Raw genomic sequence first — 23,110 nt, 5'->3', positions numbered from 1 at the left:
TTTGTAGAGTTGGGTTCTCACCATGTTAACCTAGGCTGGTCTAGAACTCTTGAGCTAAAGCCATCTGCCTGCCTCGGCCTCTCAAAATGCTGGGATTACAGGTGTGAGCCACTGCTCCCAACCTTGAATAATTTTTATTATGGATTTTAATATTGGTATTTAAATGAGAAGATCTAAAAGAAAACAAAGGAAAAGCTTCTTGACCTTGGTCTCGGCAGTGATTTTTTTGGATAGGACACCAAAAGCACAGGCAGCAAAAGCAAAAACAAGTGGGACTACCTCAAACTAAAAAGCTTCTGCGCAGCAAAGGAGAAACAAAAAGGCAGCCTATGGATTGGGAGAAACTGTTTGCGAACCATGTATCTGTTAAGGGATTAACATCTAAAATATATGAGGACCTCAAACAATAGCGAAAAAAGAAATGACCCAAAAATGGGCAAAGGACCTGCATAGACATTTCTCCAAAGCAGACATGCAAATGGCTAACAGGTATTTGAAAAGGAGCTTAACATCATTAATCATCAGGGGAAGTGCAAATCAAAACCACAATGAGATATCATCTCATACCTATTAGAATGCCTTTTATCAAAAAGATAAGAAATAAATGTTGGCAATGATGCATGAAAAGGGAACACTTGTACACTGTTGGTGGCAATGTAAATTGATGCAGCCACCGTGGAAAATGCTGTAGAGCTTCCTAAAGAAAATACAGCTGCCATATGACCCAGCAGTTCTTCTAGTTGTATGCCCAAAGGAAGTAAAATCACCACTTTGTGAAGATACCTGCACTCCCATGTTCATTGCAACATTATTTAGAATAGCTAGGAGATGGAAAAAAGATATCTGTTGATGGGCTGAATGAATGGATAAAGAAATTGTGGTATATATACACACAATGGAATATTCAGCCTTAAAAAAGGAGATTCTACCGTTTGCAACACCATGGATGAACGTAGAAGACATTATGCTAAGTGAAATAAGCCAGACACACCAAAGAATACTGCATGATTTCACATGTGGAATCTAAAAAACAATCAAAAAAGGAAACCATAGAAACAAAGAGCAAAGCAGTGATTGGAGGCCAGGCGCGGTGGATCATGCCTGTAATCCCAGGACTTTGAGAGGCCGAGATAGGAGGGTTGCTTGAGCCCAGGAGTTCAAGATGAGCCAGAGCAACATAGGTGAGCCTCTGTCTCTACAAAAAATAAAAAATTATCCGGGCTTGCTGACGTGTGCCTGTAGTTCCTGCTACTCAGGAGGCTGAGGTAAGGAGGATCTCCTGAGCCTAGGAGGCTGAGGCTGCAGTGAGTCATGATTTCACCACTGCACTCCAGCCTGGGTGACAGAGTGACTCTGCCTCAAAAAACAAAAACAAAACAGTGTTGGGGAAGGATGGAAAGATGTAGATCAAAGGGTACAAAGTTGCAGTTATGTTGGATGAATAAGTCTAAGAGATCTAATGTATAGCATGAGGGCTATATTTAATAATATTGTATTATGTACTGTTAATTTGCCAAGACAATAGATTTTAAGTACTTGTACCACAATAAACAAGAAGAAAGAAAACAAGGTAACTGTATGGGATAATGGGTATGTTAATTTGTTTGACTGTATTAATCATTTCACTGTGTATATGTGTATCAAGATAAGTATATCAAACAGCATGTCGTGTTATACATCTTAATATATAATTTTAAAAGTTTAAAAAATCAATTGGAAAAATAAATGAGAAAACCTAGAAAAATAGCCAAATAACTTTATTAAACTTGAGAATTTATTTTCCAGTGTTGAGATATTATTTTTTATTATTTTCTATAGGGTGTTTGTGAACCGAAGTTTAGCAATGGAAAAGATAAAGTGTTTTGGTTTTGATATGGATTATACCCTTGCTGGTGAGTAGCAATTTCTGATTGCTTAAGAACTGCTGCTTTGGGTATAACACAGTGGGTTCACAGTAGGCAATTCAATTGACATTTGCTGACTTAATCATGTATTTGGCTGCCAGAAGCTTTTATTATCAGGTTGCTTCCAGTAAGATTTGTGAATATTGAAATTATCAGATATCCTTGAGATGTGGCTCATGAGTTTGTACACATAGATAGAAAAAGTACTAAATTTTACTATTTTAGAGACCCTGGTAAGAAATAATATGGTAAAATCATATATTGATAGGTATATTTGGGCATTTTTGACTTTTACTCTTAGCCATTCTTTAGGTATGAGATTTTGTGTCTCTTGCACTGCCACAGATAAACTTGTATCAGTTAAAAATTTTAGTTTTTTTTTTTTTGAGACGGAGTTTCGCTCTTGTCCTCCAGGCTGGAGTGCAATGGCGCGATCTTGGCTCACTGCAACTTCCACCTCCTGGGTTCAAGCGATTCTCCTGCCTCAGCCTCCCAGGTAGCTGGGATTACAGGCATGCACCACCACACCCGGCTAATTTTTGTATTTTTAGTAGAGATGGGGTTTCACCATGTTGGCCAGGCTGATCTCGAACTCCTGACCTCAGATGATCTCCCCACTTGGCCTTCCAAAGTGCTGGGTTTACAGGCGTGAGCCACTGCACCCGGACAGTATGTTATTCTTAACACAGATGGGAAATGTGTTCATTTTCCATTGAAATGATTGCACACGTAGTATGTATAAGGCTTTTTAAAAACTAGAGCTGCAGCCACATAAAGGAATGAGTTTGTGCCTTTTGCAGGGACATGAATGAAGCTAGAAGCCATCATTCTCAGCAGACTAACACAGGAACCAAAAAGCAAACACTGCATGTTCTCACTCATAAGTGGGAGTTGAACATTGAGAACACATGAACACAGGGAGGGGGAACATCACACACTGAGGCTTGTCGGGGGGTGAGAGGCAAAGGGAGGGAGAGCATTAGGACAAATACCTAACGCATGCAGGGCTTAAAACCTAGATGACGGGTTTATAGGTGCAGCAAACCACCATGGTACATGTATACCTATGTAACCTGCACATTCTGCATATGTATCCCAGAACTTAACAAAAAACAAACAAACCCCAAAAAACTCAGAGATGTACTGGGGTTTCTTTTCTGTACCTAGGGTATATGCAGGAATTTAGCCAGTCTTCCCAATGGTCAGCTGCAGTTAGATGGAGGACTGGGCAAGAAGTCATTGAAACTCCATGACAAATATGGAAAAGATGAACTTCTTTTTTAACTTGTAGAATCCTTAGTCTGTGTAGATGTTTTCATCAGCATGTTTTGTCCTTATGAGGATGTGGGGCATTGGGTACCATCTCATGGTCTCCTATTTGTGTAAACTTTGTGTTTAAGTTTCCACATCCTTTTTTATTAAATAAATTATATAGCTTCTGAAACCAACTAACCAACCAACCAAACAAAAAACTAGAGCCATTAGCTTTTTTCATTATCCTGTAGCCCTTAAACACCAGCACTGTGCTGTTTTTCCCTTCCTTCTCTAAGATATATTTGAAAGAGTCAATGTATTAATCAGTAGTTATAACATCTTTCCAGAATTTAGTAAAATATTTTCAATCTCGTGGAAATGCATTTAATTTAAGAAGTAGTGGGGATGAGGGATCAAGTTGAGCATATATGCTTGCACGTGTATGTGAAACTGTGACACACAGAATCTTTCAGAAATTGTCTGTTAAAAAATTTTGTCTTTACACAAAAACCTTAAGACGTATAAAGACACTTCTCAGGAACTATTAATATAACAGTATTAATTTGTCCATCTCAAATTAGACAAATCACAGTTTGATGTTCGATTTAGGCTACAAATGTGAATGAATAATACGTGTTCAAACACGAAATTACGGGAGTACTTGCTACATAGATACGGTCATGATTTTTTTACCAAACAAGTAATACATTAAAAATATACACAGTTCCTGATTTGAATTTTTCTCTTCCCTCCATACTCTTTGTCATTTATTTGTTTTTCTATTGCCTTAACCTTATTTTTGCAGCATTTAATGTTTTTCTAATTGGTCACAGACACTTTTAGGAGCACTTGTCAGAAAGCAGGGGAAAGCAGTATACTTTCCCAATGTAGATCTTGCTGTTCAAATGGGAAGAAAATCTATAGTCTCTTCTTTCAAGATTCTAGCTCTCTAGGGAAAGGAATGGTGAGTTAATTTGGCAGCTGAAAGAGATTATCTAAAGCAGAAATAGAAGTTAATGGTGTCAAAAAGTGACAAATATTTTTCCCTTGGTTATTAAGACAATCTCTTTACATTGAAATAGTTCAATTTAGTAAGTATTTATTGAGAATCTATAATGTGCCTGGCACATTTTGTTACTGAAAACTGAGGTGATTATATATTCCCACAGAATAATGAAAAAATAAACTATCTTGTATATTGAAAAGGTCACTTAATTGGCCTGGCGCGGTGGCTCATGCCTGTAATCCCAGCACTTTGGGAGACTGAGGCGGGTGGATTACTTGACAGGAGTTCGAGACCAGCCTGCCCAACATGGTGAAACCCCATCTCTACTAAAAAATACAAAAATTAGTTGGGTGTGGTGGTACGTGCCTGTAGTCTCAGCTGGTCAGGAGGCTGAGGTGGGAGAACCGCTTGAACTGGGGAGGCAGAGGTTGCAGTGAGCTGAGATGGTGCCAATGCACTCCAGCCTGGGCAACAGAGTGAGACCGTGTCTCAAAAAAAAAAAAAAAATAATTAACTGAATCTGTCTCTAAACTTTAATGCACCTTATGATTTCTTCTTTTTGTTTTTTGCAATGCCACTTCGTATTTTAATGCTTTCTCCTAGTCTACACACAAACATACTTTGTGTATATTTAACAGTAAGTGGTAACATTTATTAAGTACTTATTATATGCCAGGACCCGTTCCAAGTGCTTTATTACATAGATTATCTCATTTAACACATGGATTCTGTCATTCACATCTGTTATTTAATATTTACAGAAACCCTGTGAAGCAGTTACTACTATCATCTCCATTTTACATATGACTCTGAGACATCAAGCACTTTGTCCAAGGACATTTAGTTATGATATACCTGAACCAAGATTCAAACCTAAGCATGCATGTATGTATAGGCATATAATGTTAAAATGATCATTTTGGATAATGACAGTTTATCGAGATTTTCATATGAATAGAAACATATGGTGTATTAGTCTGTTTTCATGCTGCTGATAGACATACCTGAGATTGGGCAATTTACAAAAGAAAGAGGGTTTTTTTTTTGGAGGCAGAGTCTCGCTCTGTCTCCCAGGCTGGAGTGCAATGGTGCAATCCTGGCTCACTGCAACCTGTGCCTCCCAGGTTCAAGAGATTCTCCTGCCTCAGCCTCCTGAGTAGCTGGGATTACAGGTGCCCACCACCACACCCAGCTAAGTTTTTTGTATTTTTAATAGAGATGGGGTTTCACCAGGTTACCCAGGCCAGTCTCGAACCCCTGACCTCAGGTGATCCACCTGCCTCGGCCTCCCAAAGTGCTGGGATTACAGGCATGAGCCACCACGCCCAGCCATTTTGTTCTGTTTTGAGATGGAATCTTGCTGTGTCACTCAGCCTGGAGTGCAGTGGTGCGATCTCAGCTCATTGCAACCTCCGCCTCCTGGGTTCAATCGATTCTCCTGCCTCAGCCTCCTGAGTAGCTGGGATTACAGGTGCCTGCCACTATGCCCGGCTAATTTTTGTATTTTTAGTAGAGATGTGGGGGGCAGTGGGGGTTTCATTATGTTGGCCAGGCTGGTCTTGAACTCCTGACCTCAGGTGATCTGCCTGCCTCGGCCTCCCAAAGTGCTGGGATTACAAGCGTGAGCCACCGAGCCCAACCAGAAAGAAGTTTAATGGACTTATATTTCCACCTGGCTGGGGAATCCCCAGCATCATGGCAGAAGGTGAAAGGCATGTCTCACATGGCAGCAGACAGGAGAAGAGAGATTGTGCAGGGAAATTCCCCTTTTTAAAACCATCAGATCTCATGAGACTTATTCACTATTACAGGAACAGCAAGGGAAAGACCCACTCCCATGATTCAATTACCTCCCACTGGATCCCTCCTACACCATGTGGGAATTGAAGATGAGATTTGGGTGGGGACACAGCCAAACCATATCATTCTGCCCCTGGCCCTTCTAAATCTCTTGTCCTCACATTTCAAAACCAATCATGCCTTCCCAACAGTCCCCCAAAGTCTTAACTCATTTCAACATTAACTAAAAAGTTCACAGTCCAATATCTCATCTGAAACAAGGCAAGTCCCTTCTGCCTATGAACCTGTAAAATCAAAAGCAAGTTAGTTACTTCTTACATACAATGGGGATACAGGCATTGAGTAAATACAGCCATTCCAAATGGGAGAAATTGGCCAAAACAAAGGGGCTACAGGCCCCATGCAAGTTTGAAATCCAGTGGGGCAGTCAAATCTTAAAGCTCCAAAATGATATATTTTGACCCTGTGTCTCACATCCAGGTCTTGCTGATGCAAGAGGTGGATTCCCATGGTTTTGGGCAGCTCCACTTCTGTGGCTTTGCAGGGTACAGCTTCCCTCCCAGCTGCTTTCACAGGCTGGTGTTGGGTGTCTGTGGCTTTTCCAGGTGCACGGTGCAAGCTGTCAGTGGATCTATTATTCTGGGGTCTGGAGGACGGTGATCCTCTTCTCACAGCTCCAATAGGCAGTGCCCTAGTAGGGACTCTGTGTGGGGGCTCTGACCCCACATTTCCCTTCTGCACTGCCTTAGCAGAGGTTTTCCATGAGAGCCCCACCCTGGCAGCAAACTTCTGCCTGGACATCCAGGCATTTCCATACATCCTCTGAAATATAGGTGGAGGTTCCTAAACCCCAATTTTTGACTTCTGTGCACTTGCAGGCTCAACACCACATGGAAGGTGCCAAGGCTTGAGGCTTGCACCCTCTGAAGCCACAGCCCGAGCTCTATATTGGCCCCTTTCAGCCATGGCAGGAGTGGCTGGGACTCGGCACTAAGTCGCCAGACTGCACACAGCATGGGGAGCCTGGGCCTGGCCCATGAAACCACTTTTTCCTCTGAGGCCTCCTGGCCTGTGGTGGAAGGGGCTACCATGAAGACTTCTGACATGCCCTGGAGACATTTTCCCCATTGTCTCGGTGATTAGCATTAGGCTCTTTGTTACTTATGCAAATTTCTGTACAGGGCTTGAATTTCTTCTCAGAGATGAGTTTTCTTTTCTATTGCATTGTGAGGCTGCAAATTTTCGGAACTTTTATGCTCTGCTTCCCTTATAAAACTGAATGACTTTAACAGCATCCAAGTCATCTCTTGAATGCTTTGCTGCTTAGAAATTTCTTCCATCAGATACCCTAAATCATCTCTCTCAAGTTCAAAGTTCCACAAATCTCTAGGGTAGGGGCAAAATGCCACCAGTCTCTTTGCTAAAATATATAAAGACTCAGCTTTGCTCCAGCTCCCAATAAGTTCCTCATTTCCATCTGAGACCACCTCAGCCTAGAATTTGTTGCCCATGTCACTATCAATATTTTTGTCAAAGCCATTCAACAAGTCTCTAGGAAGTTCTAAACTTTCCCACATTTTTCTCTCTTCTTCTGAGCCCTCCAAATTGTTCTAACATTTGTCTGTTACCCAGTTCCAAAGTTGCTTCCACATTTTTGGATATCTTTTCAGCAGTGCTCCACTCTACTGGTACCAATTTACTATATTAGTTTGTTTTCATGCTGCTAATAAAGACATACCTGAGACTGGGCAGTTTACAAAAGAAAGAGGTTTAGGCCAGGTGTGGTGGCTCACACCTGTAATCCCAGCACTTTGAGAGGTTGAAGTGGGCAGATCACCTGAGGTCAGGAGTTCGAGACCTGCCTGGCCAACATGGTGAGACCCCATCTCTACTAAAAATACAAAATTAGCTGGGTGCAGTGGTGCATGCCTGTAATCCCAGCTACTTGGGAGGTAGGAGAATAACTTGAACCCGGGAGGTGGAGATTGCGGTGAGCTGACATCGTGCCACTGCACTCCGGCCTGGGCAAAAAGAGCAAAACTCCATTTCAAAAAAAAAAAGTTTAATGGACTTACAGTTCCATGTGGCTGGAGTGGCTCCACAATCATGGTGGAAGGTGAAAGGCAAAAGGCATGTCTCATATGGCAGCAGACAAGAGAAGAGAGCTTGTGCAGGGAAATTCCCCTTTTTAAAACCATCAGATCTTGTGAGAGTTATTCACTATCACGAGAACAGCAGAGGAAAGACACACCCCTGTGATTCAATTACTTCCCACTGGGTCCCTCCCACAACACGTGCAAATTCAAGATGACATTTGGGTGGGGACATAGCCAAGGCATATCATATAGTATGTACTCCTTTTTGTCTGCCTTATTTTGCTCAGCATGTTTTTATGATTCATTCACATTGTTGTGTCTACCAGTAAGTAGTTCATTCTTTTTTTAACTCTTGACATAATTTTTTTTTTTAATTACTTTAGACCGCGGCCAGGCGCGGTGGCTCACGCCTATAATCCCAACACTTTGGGAGACCGAGGCAGGCAGATCACAAGGTCAGGAGATCGAGACCATCCTGGCTAACACAGTGAAACCCTGTCTCTACTAAAAAAATACAAAAATTAGCCGGGCGTGGTGGCGGGCGCCTGTACCGAGTCCCAGCTACTCAGGAGGCTGAGGCAGGAGAATGGCGTGAACCTGGGATGCAGAGCTTACAGTGAGCCGAGATCGCGCCACTGTGCACTCCAGCTTGGGTGACAGAGTGAGATTCCGTCTCAAAAAAAAAAGAAATTACTTTAGACCTACAGAAGAGCTACAAAAATAATTTAGAGAGTTCTCCTTTCCCCTCTCCTATGGTAACATCTTGCTTGACCATAGTACAATTATAAAAACTGAGAAATTAACACCAGTACAGTATTATTAGTTGAACTATGGACTTTGTTTTTTATCAGTTTTTCCACTAATGTCATCTTTTTATTCTAGGATCCAGTCCCGAATCGCATATTGCATTTAGTTGTCTTATCTCCTTAGTCTCTTCTAATCTGTGATTGTTCCTAAGTCTTCTCTTTCATTGCTATGACACTTTTTTTTTTTTTTCGAGATGAAGTTTTGCTCTTGTTACCCAGGCTGGAGTGCAATAGTGCAGTCTTGGCTCACTGCAACCTCCGCCTCCCAGGTTCAAGCAATTCTTGTGCCTCGGCCTCCCAAGTAGCTGGGGTTACAGGCATGCATCACCACACCCAGCTAATTTCTTGTATTTAGTAGAGATAGGGTTTCACCGTGTTGGTCAGGCTGGTCTCGAACTCCTGACTTCAGATGATCCACCCGCCTCAGCCTCCCAAAGTGCTGGGATTACAGGCATGAGCCACCATGCCTGGCCAATACTTTTTTAAAAAATAATTTTTTTTTTCTCTTTTGAGACAGTGTCTCACTCTGTTGCCCAGGCTGGAGTGCAGTGGTGCAATCATGGTTCATTGCAGCCTTAACCTCCCAGACTTAGGTGATCCTCCCATTTCAGCTTCCCAAGTAGCTGGAGATACAGGTGCAAGCCACCATGCCCAGATAACTTTTTCATTGTTTAGTAGTGACAGGGTTTCACCATGTCACTCAGACTGGTCTGGAACTTCTGGGCTCAAGCGATCTACCTGCCTTGGCCTCCCAAAGTGCTGAGACTACAGGTGTGAGCCACTGCACCCGGCGTTGCTTTGAGACTTTTAAAGAGTACTGGCTAGGTATTTTGTAGAATGTTCCACAACGTGGGTTTGTCTGCTTTGTGGTTCATAGAAAGCACCTTCTAGCTGTGTCCTTATGTGGTAGAAGTAGTAAGGGGTCTCTCTTAGGCCTCTTTTATAAGGGCACTAATCCCATTCACAAGTGCTCCGCCTTTATAAAAGAGGACACCAATCACTTCCCAGAAGCATCACTTCCTGACACCATCACATTGATGATTATATTTCAGCATATGAACTTTAAAGGACACAAATATTGAGACCATAGAATGAACTATAAAACTATCTGTCTAGCATAATCTATGAATTGGCTATTCTGGCAAACAGTATTTTGAGTGATATATAATTACCTTACAGCATAGATAGATTACTAGTTTTCAGAGTTAGAATGTAGTGAAATTCTTAGAATACAGTGATCCTAGGATTGATGCTTCTGAAGTGTCTGCATAGGACATCACATGTCAAACATAACATCTCAAAGTCGTGTTTTGGAATGGTGTGTTCATTGAGAGGTGGTTGTTGGCTCATGATCCTTATCACACTGTAAATTTGCCTAAATTTGTTCTGAGGAAACAGCTACATAGGGTTTCCTCAAAGTTCTTTTTTCTTGTTTTCAAATGTGGGAAATACATATGACTTCTTTTTGGAAAGGATGGGGGTTGGGATTTAGTCTTGGCAAATTGAGATATTTTCATAAGGAAACTCTGTTTTTGGTCTTCCTGAAGATGGCTACAGAAGACCTTCTTTGGGGAGAGGGGTTTTTTGATTTTTCAGCTTTTTAATGGTTCCTATTAATAGATAAGAAAATTTACTTTGAATAATGATGTTTTGAGAATCCTGTTTTTTATGTTAAATGCTGGAGTTGATAGAATTAGTGGTAAATAATTATTTAAAACTTTGATGTCACTAATGAATGAGGAAGAGGGTAACTGAAGCAAAAATATATATGTGGACTGTAGGAATGTTAAGCTGAATATATAATAATTCTAAACTTGTAAACTTCTAATTTTTCTTTTTTTTTTTTTTAATTTTTATTTTTTTTTTAAATTTATTTTTTTATTGATAATTCTTGGGTGTTTCTCACAGAGGGGGATTTGGCAGGGTCATGGGACAATAGTGGAGGGAAGGTCAGCAGATAAACAAGTGAACAAAGGTCTCTGGTTTTCCTAGGCAGAGGACCCTGCGGCCTTCCGCAGTGTTTGTGTCCCTGATTACTTGAGATTAGGGATTTGTGATGACTCTTAACGAGCATGCTGCCTTCAAGCATCTGTTTAACAAAGCACATCTTGCACCGCCCTTAATCCATTTAACCCTGAGTGGACACAGCGCATGTTTCAGAGAGCACAGGGTTGGGGGTAAGGTCACAGATCAACAGGATCCCAAGGCAGAGGAATTTTTCTTAGTGCAGAACAAAATGAAAAGTCTCCCATGTCTACTTCTTTCTACACAGACACGGTAACCATCCGATTTCTCAATCTTTTCCCCACCTTTCCTGCCTTTCTATTCCACAAAGCCGCCATTGTCATCCTGGCCCGTTCTCAATGAGCTGTTGGGCACACCTCCCAGACAGGGTGGTGGCCGGGCAGAGGGGCTCCTCACTTCCCAGTAGGGGCGGCCGGGCAGAGGCGCCCCTCACCTCCCGGACAGGGCGGCTGGCCGGGCGGGGGGGCTGACCCCCCCCACCTCCCTCCCGGACGGGGCGGCTGGCCGGGCGGGGGGCTGACACCCCCACCTCCCTCCCGGACAGGGCGGCTGGCCGGGCAGAGGGGCTCCTCACTTCCCAGTAGGGGCGGCCGGGCAGAGGCGCCCCTCACCTCCCGGACGGGGCGGCTGGCCGGGCGGGGGGCTGACACCCCCACCTCCCTCCCGGACGGGGCGGCTGGCCGGGCAGAGGGGCTCCTCACTTCCCAGTAGGGGCGGCCGGGCAGAGGCGCCCCTCACCTCCCGGACAGGGCGGCTGGCCGGGCGGGGGGGCTGACCCCCCCCCACCTCCCTCCCGGACGGGGCGGCTGGCCGGGCGGGGGGCTGACACCCCCACCTCCCTCCCGGACGGGGCGGCTGGCCGGGCGGGGGGCTGACCCCCCCACCTCCCTCCCGGACGGGGCGGCTGGCCGGGTGGGGGGGCTGACCCCCCCATCTCCCTCCCGGACGGGGTGGCTGGCCGGGCTGAGGGGCTCCTCACTTCCCAGTAGGGGCGGCCGGGCAGAGGCGCCCCTCACCTCCCAGACGGGGCGGCTGGCCGGGCGGAGAGCTGACCCCCCCACCTCCCTCCCGGACGGGGCGGCTGGCCGGGCGGGGGGCTGACCCCCCCACCTCCCTCCCGGACGGGGCGGCTGGCCGGGTGGGGGGCTGACCCCCCCATCTCCCTCCCGGACGGGGTGGCTGGCCAGGCTGAGGGGCTCCTCACTTCCCAGTAGGGGCGGCCGGGCAGAGGCACCCCTCACCTCCCGGACGGGGCGGCTGGCCGGGCGGGGGGCTGACCCCCCACCTCCCTCCCGGACGGCACGGCTGGCCAGGTGGGGGGCTGACCCCCCCACCTCCCTCCCGGATGGCACGGCTGGCCGGTCGGGGGGGCTGACCCCCCACCTCCCTCCCAGATGGGGCGGCTGGCCGGGCGGGGGGTTGACCCCCCCCTACCTCCCTCCCGGACGGGGTGGCTGCCGGGCGGAGATGCTCCTCACTTCCCAGATGGGGTGGCTGCCGGGCGGAGAGGCTCCTCACTTCTCAGACGGGGCAGCTGCCGGGCGGAGGGGCTCCTCACTTCTCAGACGGGGTGGTTGCCAGGCAGAGGGTCTCCTCACTTCTCAGACGGGGCGGCCGGGCAGAGACGCTCCTCACCTCCCAGACGGGGTCTCGGCCGGGCAGAGGCGCTCCTCACATCCCAGATGGGGCGGCGGGGCAGAGGCGCTCCCCACATCTCAGACGATGGGCGGCCGGGCAGAGACGCTCCTCACTTCCTAGATGTGATGGCGGCTGGGAAGAGGCGCTCCTCACTTCCTAGATGGGATGGCGGCCGGGCGGAGACGCTCCTCACTTTCCAGACTGGGCAGCCAGGCAGAGGGGCTCCTCACATCCCAGACGATGGGCGGCCAGGCAGAGACACTCCTCACTTCCCAGACGGGGTGGTGGCCGGGCAGAGGCTGCAATCTCGGCACTTTGGGAGGCCAAGGCAGGCGGCTGGGAGGTGTAGGTTGTAGTGAGCCGAGATCACGCCACTGCACTCCAGCCTGGGCACCATTGAGCACTGAGTGAAGGAGACTCCGTCTGCAATCCCGGCACCTCGGGAGGCCGAGGTTGGCGGGATCACTCGCGGTTAGGGGCTGGAGACCGGCCCGGCCAACACAGCGAAACCCCGTCTCCACCAAAACCAGTCAGGCGTGGCGGCGCGTGCCTGCAATGGCAGGCACTCGGCAGGCTGAGGCAGGAGAATCAGGCAGGGAGGTTGCAGTGAGCCGAGATGGCAGCAGTACAGTCCAGCTTCGGCTCCGCATGAGAGGGAGACCGTGGGGAGAGGGAGACAGAGGGAGAGGGAGAGGGAGAGGGAGAGGGAGAGGGAGAGGGAGAGACCGGATCATTTTAAATACAGTTTTTGTTTGTTTGTTTTTGCAGGGGGTGGGTATGGGTACAGTGGTTCACTCCTGTAATCCCAGCACTTTGGGAGGCTGAGGCGGGAGGATAACCTGAGGTCAGGAGTTCCAGACCAGCCTGGCAAAACCCCATCTCTACCAAAAAATATAAAAATTAGCCAGGTGTAGGCCGGGCGCGGTGGCTCACGCCTGTAATCCCAGCACCTTGGGAGGCCGAGGCGGGCGGATCACAAGGTCAGGAGATCGAGACCATCCTGGCCAACACAGTGAAACCCCGTCTCTCTAAACTTCTAATTTTTCAAAAGTTAATGATACGGATTTTGCTAAAGGTGTTACTGGGTACTGTGGGAGAGTTGGTTGTTGGGAGTTTGTTGAGAGTTGAGAGTAGTTTGTTAAAAGAGAAATTGATGGCCTTTCTTGTATTAAAATGTTTCTTATTTTGCTTACAGTTTGGTAATCATTTGGTAATCATTTATTTCCCCAATGAAGTGTGTCACATAGTGTTCAGTAACATAATCCATTCTGATGGGAGCTTCATTATCTTCATCTCATCTAAATGCCAGCCTAATGCCACAAATATTTTTCAGAGAAGATTCCTTTATCACCAATTATCCCCATAATTGAAGCCAGCTGTGTATCGGTTTATTTGCAGGATTTCTATGTAAGACTAACATTTGTATATAGAACAGAACAAAATATGCAAAAATCTTGTTTATTGACAAAAGTAATTTTGCCTGGTTGTCTTGAACCTAAATCAGTATTAATCCTGAATCTACTACCCATAGAATGCCAGTATTTGTATTTAGCTCCTTATGTCTGTATTGTTGTAGATTAACACTTTATTTATCTAATGAGATTATGTACATTAATTATGCTTTAACTACAGTTAACCCTTGAATAATACAGCAGCTAAAGGCACTGGCTCCCATGCAATCGAAAACCTCAACTCTCCCCACTGGCTGAGGCAGGTGGATTGCTTGAAGCCAGGAGTTTGAGACCAGCCTGGGGAACCTAATGAGACCCTGTCTCTATAAAAACTTCTCAGAAATTACCCAGACATGATGGTATGTGTAGTTCCAGCTACTTGGGAGACTGAGATGGGAGGATCACTTGAGCCCAGGAGTTTGAGGTTTCAGTGAGCTGTGGTCATGCCACTGCACTCCCTCCTGGGTGATACATCAAGACCTTGTCTCCAAAAAAATAAAAATAAAAAATCCGCATATAAGTGGACCTGTGCAGTTCAAACCCGCATTATTCAAGTCAGCTGTAGTTTGTCTGTCGAGTACAGATGAGTTTATATATGAAAGTCATGTTTAGAATCTAGATAGTACTGAATCATATGTGTTAGCTTTACCACTGGCCAAGAGTGGACTATGTTTTTTTGTTTGTTTTTTAGTTTTTTAGACGGAGTCTCGCTCTGTCACCCAGGCTGCAGTGCAGTGGCATGATCTCTGCTCACTGCAACCTCCGCCTTCCAGGTTCAAGCGATTCTTCTGCCTCAGCCTCCTGAGTAGCTGGGACTACAGGCATGCACCACCGCGCCCTGTTAATTTTTGTATTTTTTGTAGAGATAGGGTTTCACCATATTGACGAGGCTGGTCTCGAACTCCTGACCTTGTGATCTGCCCACCTTGGCCTCCCAAAGTGCTGGGATTACAGATGTGAGCCACTGCATCCGGCCAACTATGTTTTATATAAAAAATACCTGCCAAGCCTATTTACAATTCCTCTTTCACCCCAAATTACTTTAGCGACGTTCTTTGCACATGATATGTATCAGGATTTGGCCCTTTGCATTTTGACTTCCTCTGCGGGTATGTGTTTTTCTTTTCCCTTTTTTCGAGGCCTCTTTCTCCCTTAATTAGACCTGTCGGGTGCTCTAGTTTCCTAATTTATTAAGTTGCCCTCATGTATATACTTTCTATACCCCAGGTTTTTCATTTGTGGTCCTTATCTGAGCACACAGTCTTTTTTAGCCTTTTTATGGTTAAGTGACCTACACAGATGAGTCAGGCTAACCCCAGGACAAAACAAGCTTAAAAAGATCTTGAAAGCCAATCTAAGATTAGGTCTTTGGACCTGGGACAGAGCAAGAAAGTTGTTTTTAATCAAACTATGCACTCTCCACAAAATGAAGGGACTAATCTATACTATTTCTGAATTTGGTTTCTTTGGTTTTATTTGCATAGACAACTGCTAAAAGTGTTATATTGCTGAATTTGTTGTTACCAACAGTGGACAATGGAGTGAAAATAGAAAACAGAATTGGTAAATTTCAGGCTGTTCAGTGCTTGTTTTTTTTCAAATGGCAAATAGGCATAAACAGACTAGTGATTTCCATTAGTATTGTTACTTAGTTTTATAATACTAAATCCAGAAATCTAGTTCTGAGGCTTCAAATGAGAAATTCTTTTCCGAGTAAATGAGTGACATAAAGTCCTTAACATTATCTCCTCGTGGTTACAGATCAGCATCTGACAGACTGCTAATCTGCAAAATGTGGTTTCTTCAAGAAGCAGAATGCTAGCCAGCAGCTGTTAAGTGAGAGTAATCTGAGTGTAAGAAGTGATTTTTTTTTCTTTCCATCATCTTTCCACGCCACCACAATGGTGCACATGAACGACTTGGCTGATGCCCTCAAGAGCATCAGCAATGTCGAAAAGACAGGCAAACGCCAGGTTCTTACTAGGCTGTGCTCCAAAGTCATTGTCTTTTTTTTTTTTTTTAACTGTGACAATGAAGCATGGTTCCATTGGCGAATTTGAAATCATTGATGATCACAGAGCTGGGAAAATTGTAGTGAACCTCACAGGCAGGCTAAACAGGTGTGGAGGGATGAGTCCCAGATTTGATGTGCAACTCAAAGATCTAGAAAAATGGTAGAGTAATCTGCTTCCATCCTGCCAGTTTGGTTTCATTGTACTAACTATCTCAGCTGACATCATAGACCGTGAAGAAGCAAGACGAAAATGCACAGGAGGGAAAATCGTAGGATTCTTTTTCTAGAGATGTAATACATATTTACAAATAAAATGCCTCATGGAAAACAAAAAGTTATTTTTTAAAAAAAGGGAGAATAATCCTTTTTCTGTTAAATTATATTAAATATATTAATTATATTAAATATAATTACATTAAATTTAATTATTAAATTATATATTAATATTAAATATAAGTCCCATACATTCCAACTTTAGACCTAGTCTTACTTTTATCCTTACTCTAGAGGTTATGTGGTTGGTGGAAAAAAACCTCATGGTGTGGTAGACCTGGGTTGGATCCCAGCTCTGCCTTGTACTAGCTCTTGACCACCAGCATTGTTACTTAACCTATGTCTCAGTTTCTTCATTTAATTTTTTTAAAAGGTGGGGGGAGGGGCGGTGTGGCAGGGATAAACTTTTGGTGTAAGGTTTAATTGCAGTAGTGTACATGAAATGACTAGTGCAGTGACTAGTGCACTCTTTGTCTGACTGGTGATACCAAGGTATTAATATACTGAAACTTGAGCTGAAAGGGAAAAAATCTGAGGAATAAGGAGAAAAATACCAATATTGACCTTATTTACACTTCTATATATTATGGAAAAACCTGGCTTGCTTGGTAGATGGCAGTGGAATATTTAATGCTCTTTTCTGTGTGTTTAAGTATTGCAAATGATCATGAACTTAATAGAAAGTTAAAGCTCTTTTTTGAGCAGCTGAATGACAGGGTATTTTGGCAACAGAGCATGTTTCCATGAGCATGTTTACCAGTGTGCTGAAGGAAATAGATTTTGGACAACAGGTCCTTCTTTAAATTAAAAAAAAAAAAATTCTTTATGACAGAGGTGTCATTATGCTTCTAATAGATGCAAGGAGAGTTACTTGCCTTTTTGAAACAATAAGAAAGGAAGAAATAGTTAATGTTTGCAGTTGCACGAAAGAGTAAATGTGGTAAATTTCATGAAGTTAACACAAAAATTATACATGTAGAATTATTAAATTTCCAGAAGTCTTAACCCCAAGGAAGACTAGAGCAACATAATGGTAGAAAGTGGGGGGATGAGTTGTTAATATTTATTTAAGCCCTTCACAAATATAGAGTGACTCTTGGTTTAGGATTATGAAACTATAGTATTTCTAACTTGGCTTACTGGCTCATTTGGGAAATCATAATGACTTTTTTTTTCCCCCCCCAATTTCGAAGGCTTGAGTTTTTTGGCTCTCTTGTGACTCCTGGTGCTTGGAAATCCGGAAGGAGGTACATTCCAGTTTTTTTCCAGCTCCAGCACTTTAGATTCTGAGCCGTTTCAGTAAATCCAGCAATAAGCTCCTTATTTCTGTTATTTCAGAATCAGTGGATACCATGGCTAGTGTCCACTCCTTCGCATTTCTCTGAGAAATTTTCAGGAAGATAGAAATGAACATTTATTAAACGTACTAGAAAATGTACTTTATGTACAATGTACCTTTTAATCCTTACCACAGCCTGCTGAGGTAGGGATTACTAGCAACATTGTACAAAAATAAGGCCAGGCATGATTGCTCACAGGGGTAATCCCAGTGCTTTGGGAGGCTGTGAGCCCTTGAGCCCAGGAGTTCGAGATCCCTCTGTGCAACATAGTGAGACCTCATCTCTACAAAAAATAAAGATTACCAGGGTGTGGTACAGCAAACCACCATAGCACATGTTTACCTGTGTAACAAACCTGCACATCCTGCACGTATACCCTGGAACTTAGGAAAAAAAAAATATTAGCAGTGTGTGGTAGTGCATGCCTGTAGTCCCAGCTACTTGGGAAGCAGAGGGAGGAGGATGGTGTTAGCCAAGGAGTTTGAGGTTTTGGTGAGTTGTGATTGTGCCTCTATCCTGGGCTATAGAACAAGACCCTGTCTCAAACAAAAAGTCAAAAAATAAAAAAGGCTACTAAGTCAACAGATAAGATGACTTATATGTAGTGTAGGGGAAAGAAATATCTTTCCTTCCCATCTTAGGTTCATGGTTGCGGCCCCTATAAGAAAAGACAGATTAGTGAGAGAAAAGCATACAGATTTATTTAATGTAAGTTTTATGGGACACAGGAGCCTTCATAAGGAAATGAAGACCTGGAGAAATGAGTAAACCTGTGTGTTTTCTATGACAGGATTGATAAAGAAGTGGATAGTTGTAGAGAAGTATGGTTGGACAAAAGGGGGTATGATCTAATGGTGATAAACTGGGAGGAACTTAGTAAGCTCTGTTCATTCAGATTCTTTGCTGCGTCCCTGGGTCTTCAGAGGTAAGGATGTTCCTTTCCTCGTGGTATAAGGATGACACCTCTCAAATGAGAGTAGTATGACCTGCTTTAGGGGAAGGTGAGAAAAATTCTTCCTAGATTTTATGACTTCCTTCAGGGAAGAAGTCGGGAGGTGAGAGTGACCTTCCTGCTTCTGCTGTTTTCTCAAATGCCCAGGTATCATATTTTGGGTTCAGATGTCCTAAATCCTATCAGTAACTAGCAACAGATTTGTTAAAACTCATAGCTGGAATTTAAACTCAGGTCAGTTTCTATTTCTCATGCTGCTCCCAGCTTTCAGAACAGAAATTATCCAGTAACTCTAGATGAGATATCAATAAGAGACAAAAACCCATAAACAAAGAAGATCATCCTTAATTTTTTCCCCCCAAATGAAAACCCTGCCTGGGGCAAAACTGCATGTTTCTTTTGCAGTTGAATTGTAATCTTCCATCTTTAGAATACAGATAGAAACTGTGTTAAAACACAGTTTTTCTTTTGCTTAATTTTTAGAAATAATCTTAAAGCTTCGTTAAGCCTCAGGATTACTATATAAGTACTGTATTAGAAATGTTGTTAGAATTATTATTATTTTGAGACAGAGTCTTGCCCTGTCACCTAGGTGGGAGTGCAGTGGGGTGATCTCGGCTCACTACAACCCCCTCCTCCCGGATTCAAGCGATTCTGGCGCCTCAGTCTCCCAAGTAGCTGGGATTACAGGCGTCTGCCACCACGCCTGGCTAATTTTTGTATTTTTAGTAGAGACAGGGTTGGCTAGGCTGGTCCAGGCTGGTCTTGAACTACTGACCTCAGGTGATCTGCCCTCCTCAGCCTCCTAAAATGCTGGGATTACAGGCTTGAGCCATCGTGCCTGGCCGAGAATTCTAAAATTAAATAGTGCATTTTTTTCTCAATTAAAAAATCTTAGGGGGATTGGAAATACATTTTAGGTCCCTCTCTTTTGAATTTTTCTGCCCTCCCCTCCTTTCTAGGCCATATCATTAGCCTCTGGGGAGTTATCCCAAACCTAAGCACTTGGCATTAACAAACCTCAAGTGTGGGAGAGGTGATGAATAAAGCTGTTAAGAGTACCGGGGAAGAAATTAAGAGAAACTAGCCTGTGATGTCAGTAAATCAGAGCATTATCTTGCTACTAGCAGAGGCATCTCAGGACCTTTGATCCCTGTCCTCTCGAACATAGTAGATGCACTCTGATCTTGTTTTATTGTTATTGGAATGGACTCAACTCACTTGACATTTAAGTGAACATTTTTTGGATGGTGTGTTTACTTGGACTAGAGTCCAGGGCCCTCATCATGTTTCTGTCAGCAATTGTATATCCTCACCAAACTTACTGGCATTGGAGGTGCTTAAATGAGTGAGAAAAACTATTTAAAGCAAGAAATATTATGCAGTATTGGTGTATTGTCACTACAGGCATCTCAAGTCCAGCATTAAAAAAATTTATGGTAAAATATATAGAATATAATATTACCATTTTAAACCATTTTCAAGTATACAATTCAATGGCATTAAGCACATTCACAAAGTTGCACAATGCTCACCACTATCCATTTCCAGAACTTTTTCATCATCCCAAACAGAAACTCCATACCCATTAAGCAATAACTCCCCATTCCCTCCACCCCTCAGTTGCTAGTAACCTCTAATTTATTTTGTCTCTATGAATTTGTCTGTTATAGGTATTTCATAAAAGTGAAATTATACAATACTTGTTTTGTGTCTGGCTTATTTCTTTTAGCATATTTTTTAAATTTGTCCATGTTATAGCATATATTACTTTTTGAGACTGAATAATATTCTACTGTAGGTATATACATTTGTTTATCTGTTCATCTGTTGATGGACATGGGGATTGTCTCCACCTTTTGGCTATTATGAATAGGCTGCTGTGAACATTGGTATTTAAGCATCTGTTTGAGTTCCTGCTTCCTGCTTTCAGTTGTTTTGGGTATATACCCAGGAATGGAATTGCTGGATCATAACGTAAATCTATGTTTAGCTTTTTAAAGAACTGCCAAACTGTTCTCTATAGTGGCTGTAACATCTTACATCCCCACCAGCAATACATGAATGAGAGTTCCAGTTTCTTCACATCTTGGCAATACTTATTTTCAGGTTTTTTGTTGTTGTTTGATAATACTCATTCTACTGGGTGTGAAGTTACGGTATCTTATGGTTTTGATTTCATGTTTCTCTAATGGCTGGTGATATTAAGCATCATTTCATGTGTTTATTTAGTCAGTTATATAACTTCTTTGGAGAAATATCAGTTTTTTAAAATTAGGTTTTTAAAATAACTGTGGAGTTACACATTCTGCATATTAATCTTTATATATTCTGGATATTAATCCCTCATCAGATACACAATTTGCAAATATTGTCTCTCATTCTGTGGGTTTTCTTTTCCCTCTCTTGATCATGGCTTTTGAGGCACAAAAGTTTTTAATTTTGAAGTCCAGTTTATCTGTTTTTTTCTTTTGTTGCCAGTGCTTTTTGCTGTCATAGCTGTGAAATCATTCCCAAATCCAATATAAGGAAGATTTTCTGCCATGTTTTCTTCTAAGAGTTTTATAGTTTTAACTCCTACATTTAGGTCTTTGATCCATTTTGAGTTTACTTCTTTTCTTTTCTTCCTTTTTTTTTTTTGAAACAGGGTCTCACACTGTCATCCAGGCTGGAGTGCAGTGGTGTGATCTCAGCTCACTGCAACCTCTGCCTCCCAGGCTCAAGTGATTCTCCCATTTCAGCCTCCCAAGTAGCTGGGACTATAGGCTCGTGCCATCATGCCTGGCTAATTTTTTTATTTTTTGTAGAAATGGGGTTTCACCATGTTGCCCAGGCTGGTCTCTAATTCCTGGACTCAAGCAGTCCACCAGCCTCAGCCTTCCAGAGTGCTGGGATTACAGGCATGAGACTGCAACTGGCCACGCCTTTTTTTTTGTTTAATGAAACCAATGACAATGTAAAAGTCTGTGCTTTAGCATTTCTTCTTAAAGAACGATGAAACTCTTTGATGAATTAAGATGGAAGATTAGCTGAGCTGAACTTACTATTGATAGCGTGTAAACTGGTTGCATCTATTTGGAGTTCTTACTGTGACGAGAGGTCTCTGAAAGGAATGTATTTGTTGAAAAGTCTTTGGTACAAAACAAGAAAGGTAACCTTTATCAAAAAGACCAAAGAAATTCTCATTGTCCTAGGTCATGAAATAATACTCAGGGCATCCTCCTCACAACTTGGAAAATATAGAACTTGTGCATTACCTCATCCCACTGGCTTCCAGATTATATGTGCAAGAGATATTTGTGTGAGGGAATGAGCACTTCTAAGTCAGTGAAAGCTACCAACCTGTATATACCCTCTGACTTTTTTTTGGAGACAAAATTTTGCTCTTGTTGCCCAGGCTGGAGTACAATGGCGCGATCTCAGCTCACCGCAACCTCTGCCTCCTGGATTCAAATGATTCTCCTGCCTCAGCCTCCTGAGTAGCTGGGATTTCAGGCATGTGCCACCATGCCTGGCTAATTTTGTATTTTTAGTAGAGATGGGGTTTCTCCATGTTGGTCAGGCTGGTCTTGAACTCCCCATCTCAGGTGATCCACCCATCTTGGCTTCCCAAAGTACTGGGATTACAGGTGTGAGCCACTGTGCCCGGCCCTCTGACTTATTCTTGAGAGATTTATCAGTTTGTGAATGGATCAAAAGCATACAACTGAAAATTAAAGAACAGAAAAATAGATGTAGTTTGACTTACTACATCTTAAAAATGCATTCATGATCTCCCTTAGTGATCTTTTTTCTTAAGAGTTTTTGGACTCTTGCCCTCCCCCACAAATAGGGTAGAATAAGAGAATAAGCTGAGTATTTAAACTAGGGTAACAGATAAAAAGAAAAAAAAAATTCCCTCTCCAAAAAGAGATGATCCCTTAAAAAACAAACAAACAAAAAAGATAATTGTGGTTAATAAAATTAATAAAAATAAATTAGAAAACATTCATAAAACTAAACAAAGTAAAAATCTAATCAGAATATATCATAAGGACTCAACCCCTAAAGGAGATTTGTGAAGATGAAATGTGATGATTTTGTCCAGGCATGGTGGCTTATTCCTGTAATTAATGCCAGCACTTTGGGAGGCCGAGGCAGATGGATTGCTTGCACCTAGGAGTCCAGGACCAGCCTGAGCAACATAACAAAACCGCATCTCTACAAAAAATGCAAAAATTAGTTGAGCGTGGTGCACGTCTGTAATCCCAGCTACTCTGGAGGCTGAGGTGGGAGAATTGCTTGATCCTGGGAGGCGGAGGTTGCAGTGAGCTGAGATTGTGCCACTGCACTTCAGCCTGGGCTACAGAATGAGACCTATCCAAAAAAAAAAAAAAAGGAAAAGAAATATGATAATTTCATGCTAGATTCATTGAATTGTATCAATGTTCTGATTAGACTAAACTGAACTTGACAAGGCCTATGGTGAATAGATTTACATAGCTGTTAGGTTCATTATTTATAGTTTTAACTATGAAGCAATAAATGATGAATAGACTATAAAGACTACTG

At 43.2% G+C, this 23,110-nt stretch overlaps 1 protein-coding gene and 1 pseudogene across 52 annotated transcripts in view, besides 1 other annotated feature; both read left to right on the top strand.

The window, feature by feature from the left end:
• The window catches only part of NT5C2 (5'-nucleotidase, cytosolic II), a 105,256-nt gene that overhangs the window by 51,975 nt on the left and 30,171 nt on the right, over nucleotides 1–23,110 (top strand). For 42 of the 52 annotated variants that reach the window (XM_047424854.1, XM_047424852.1, XM_047424856.1 and 39 more), the window contains one exon: nucleotides 1,819–1,892. The exons of 6 other annotated variants lie outside the window; for them this stretch is intronic. In XM_047424854.1, coding sequence (XP_047280810.1) covers nucleotides 1,819–1,892 — 74 coding nt within the window. Of the gene's footprint in view, nucleotides 1–1,818; nucleotides 1,893–4,925; nucleotides 5,050–23,110 lie in introns of those variants that run through there. 4 more of the 52 variants (NM_001351175.2, XM_017015947.3, XM_047424858.1 and 1 more) reach the window with 4 other exon arrangements.
• Nucleotides 5,771–5,920: an enhancer, noted in NCBI's record as "active region_3953". NCBI's record gives its function as "activates an Ori minimal core promoter by ATAC-STARR-seq in GM12878 lymphoblastoid cells {active_cell/tissue: GM12878}" and the evidence as "EXISTENCE:reporter gene assay evidence [ECO:0000049][PMID:35858748]".
• RPS15AP29 (ribosomal protein S15a pseudogene 29) lies at nucleotides 15,882–16,281 on the top strand (annotated as a pseudogene).

This window comes from Homo sapiens, chromosome 10 (genome assembly GCF_000001405.40).
Source record: "Homo sapiens chromosome 10, GRCh38.p14 Primary Assembly".
Taxonomy (NCBI): domain Eukaryota; kingdom Metazoa; phylum Chordata; class Mammalia; order Primates; family Hominidae; genus Homo; species Homo sapiens.
Note: the sequence above shows the minus strand (reverse complement) of the source record. Positions and strands in the feature narration are given on the sequence as shown.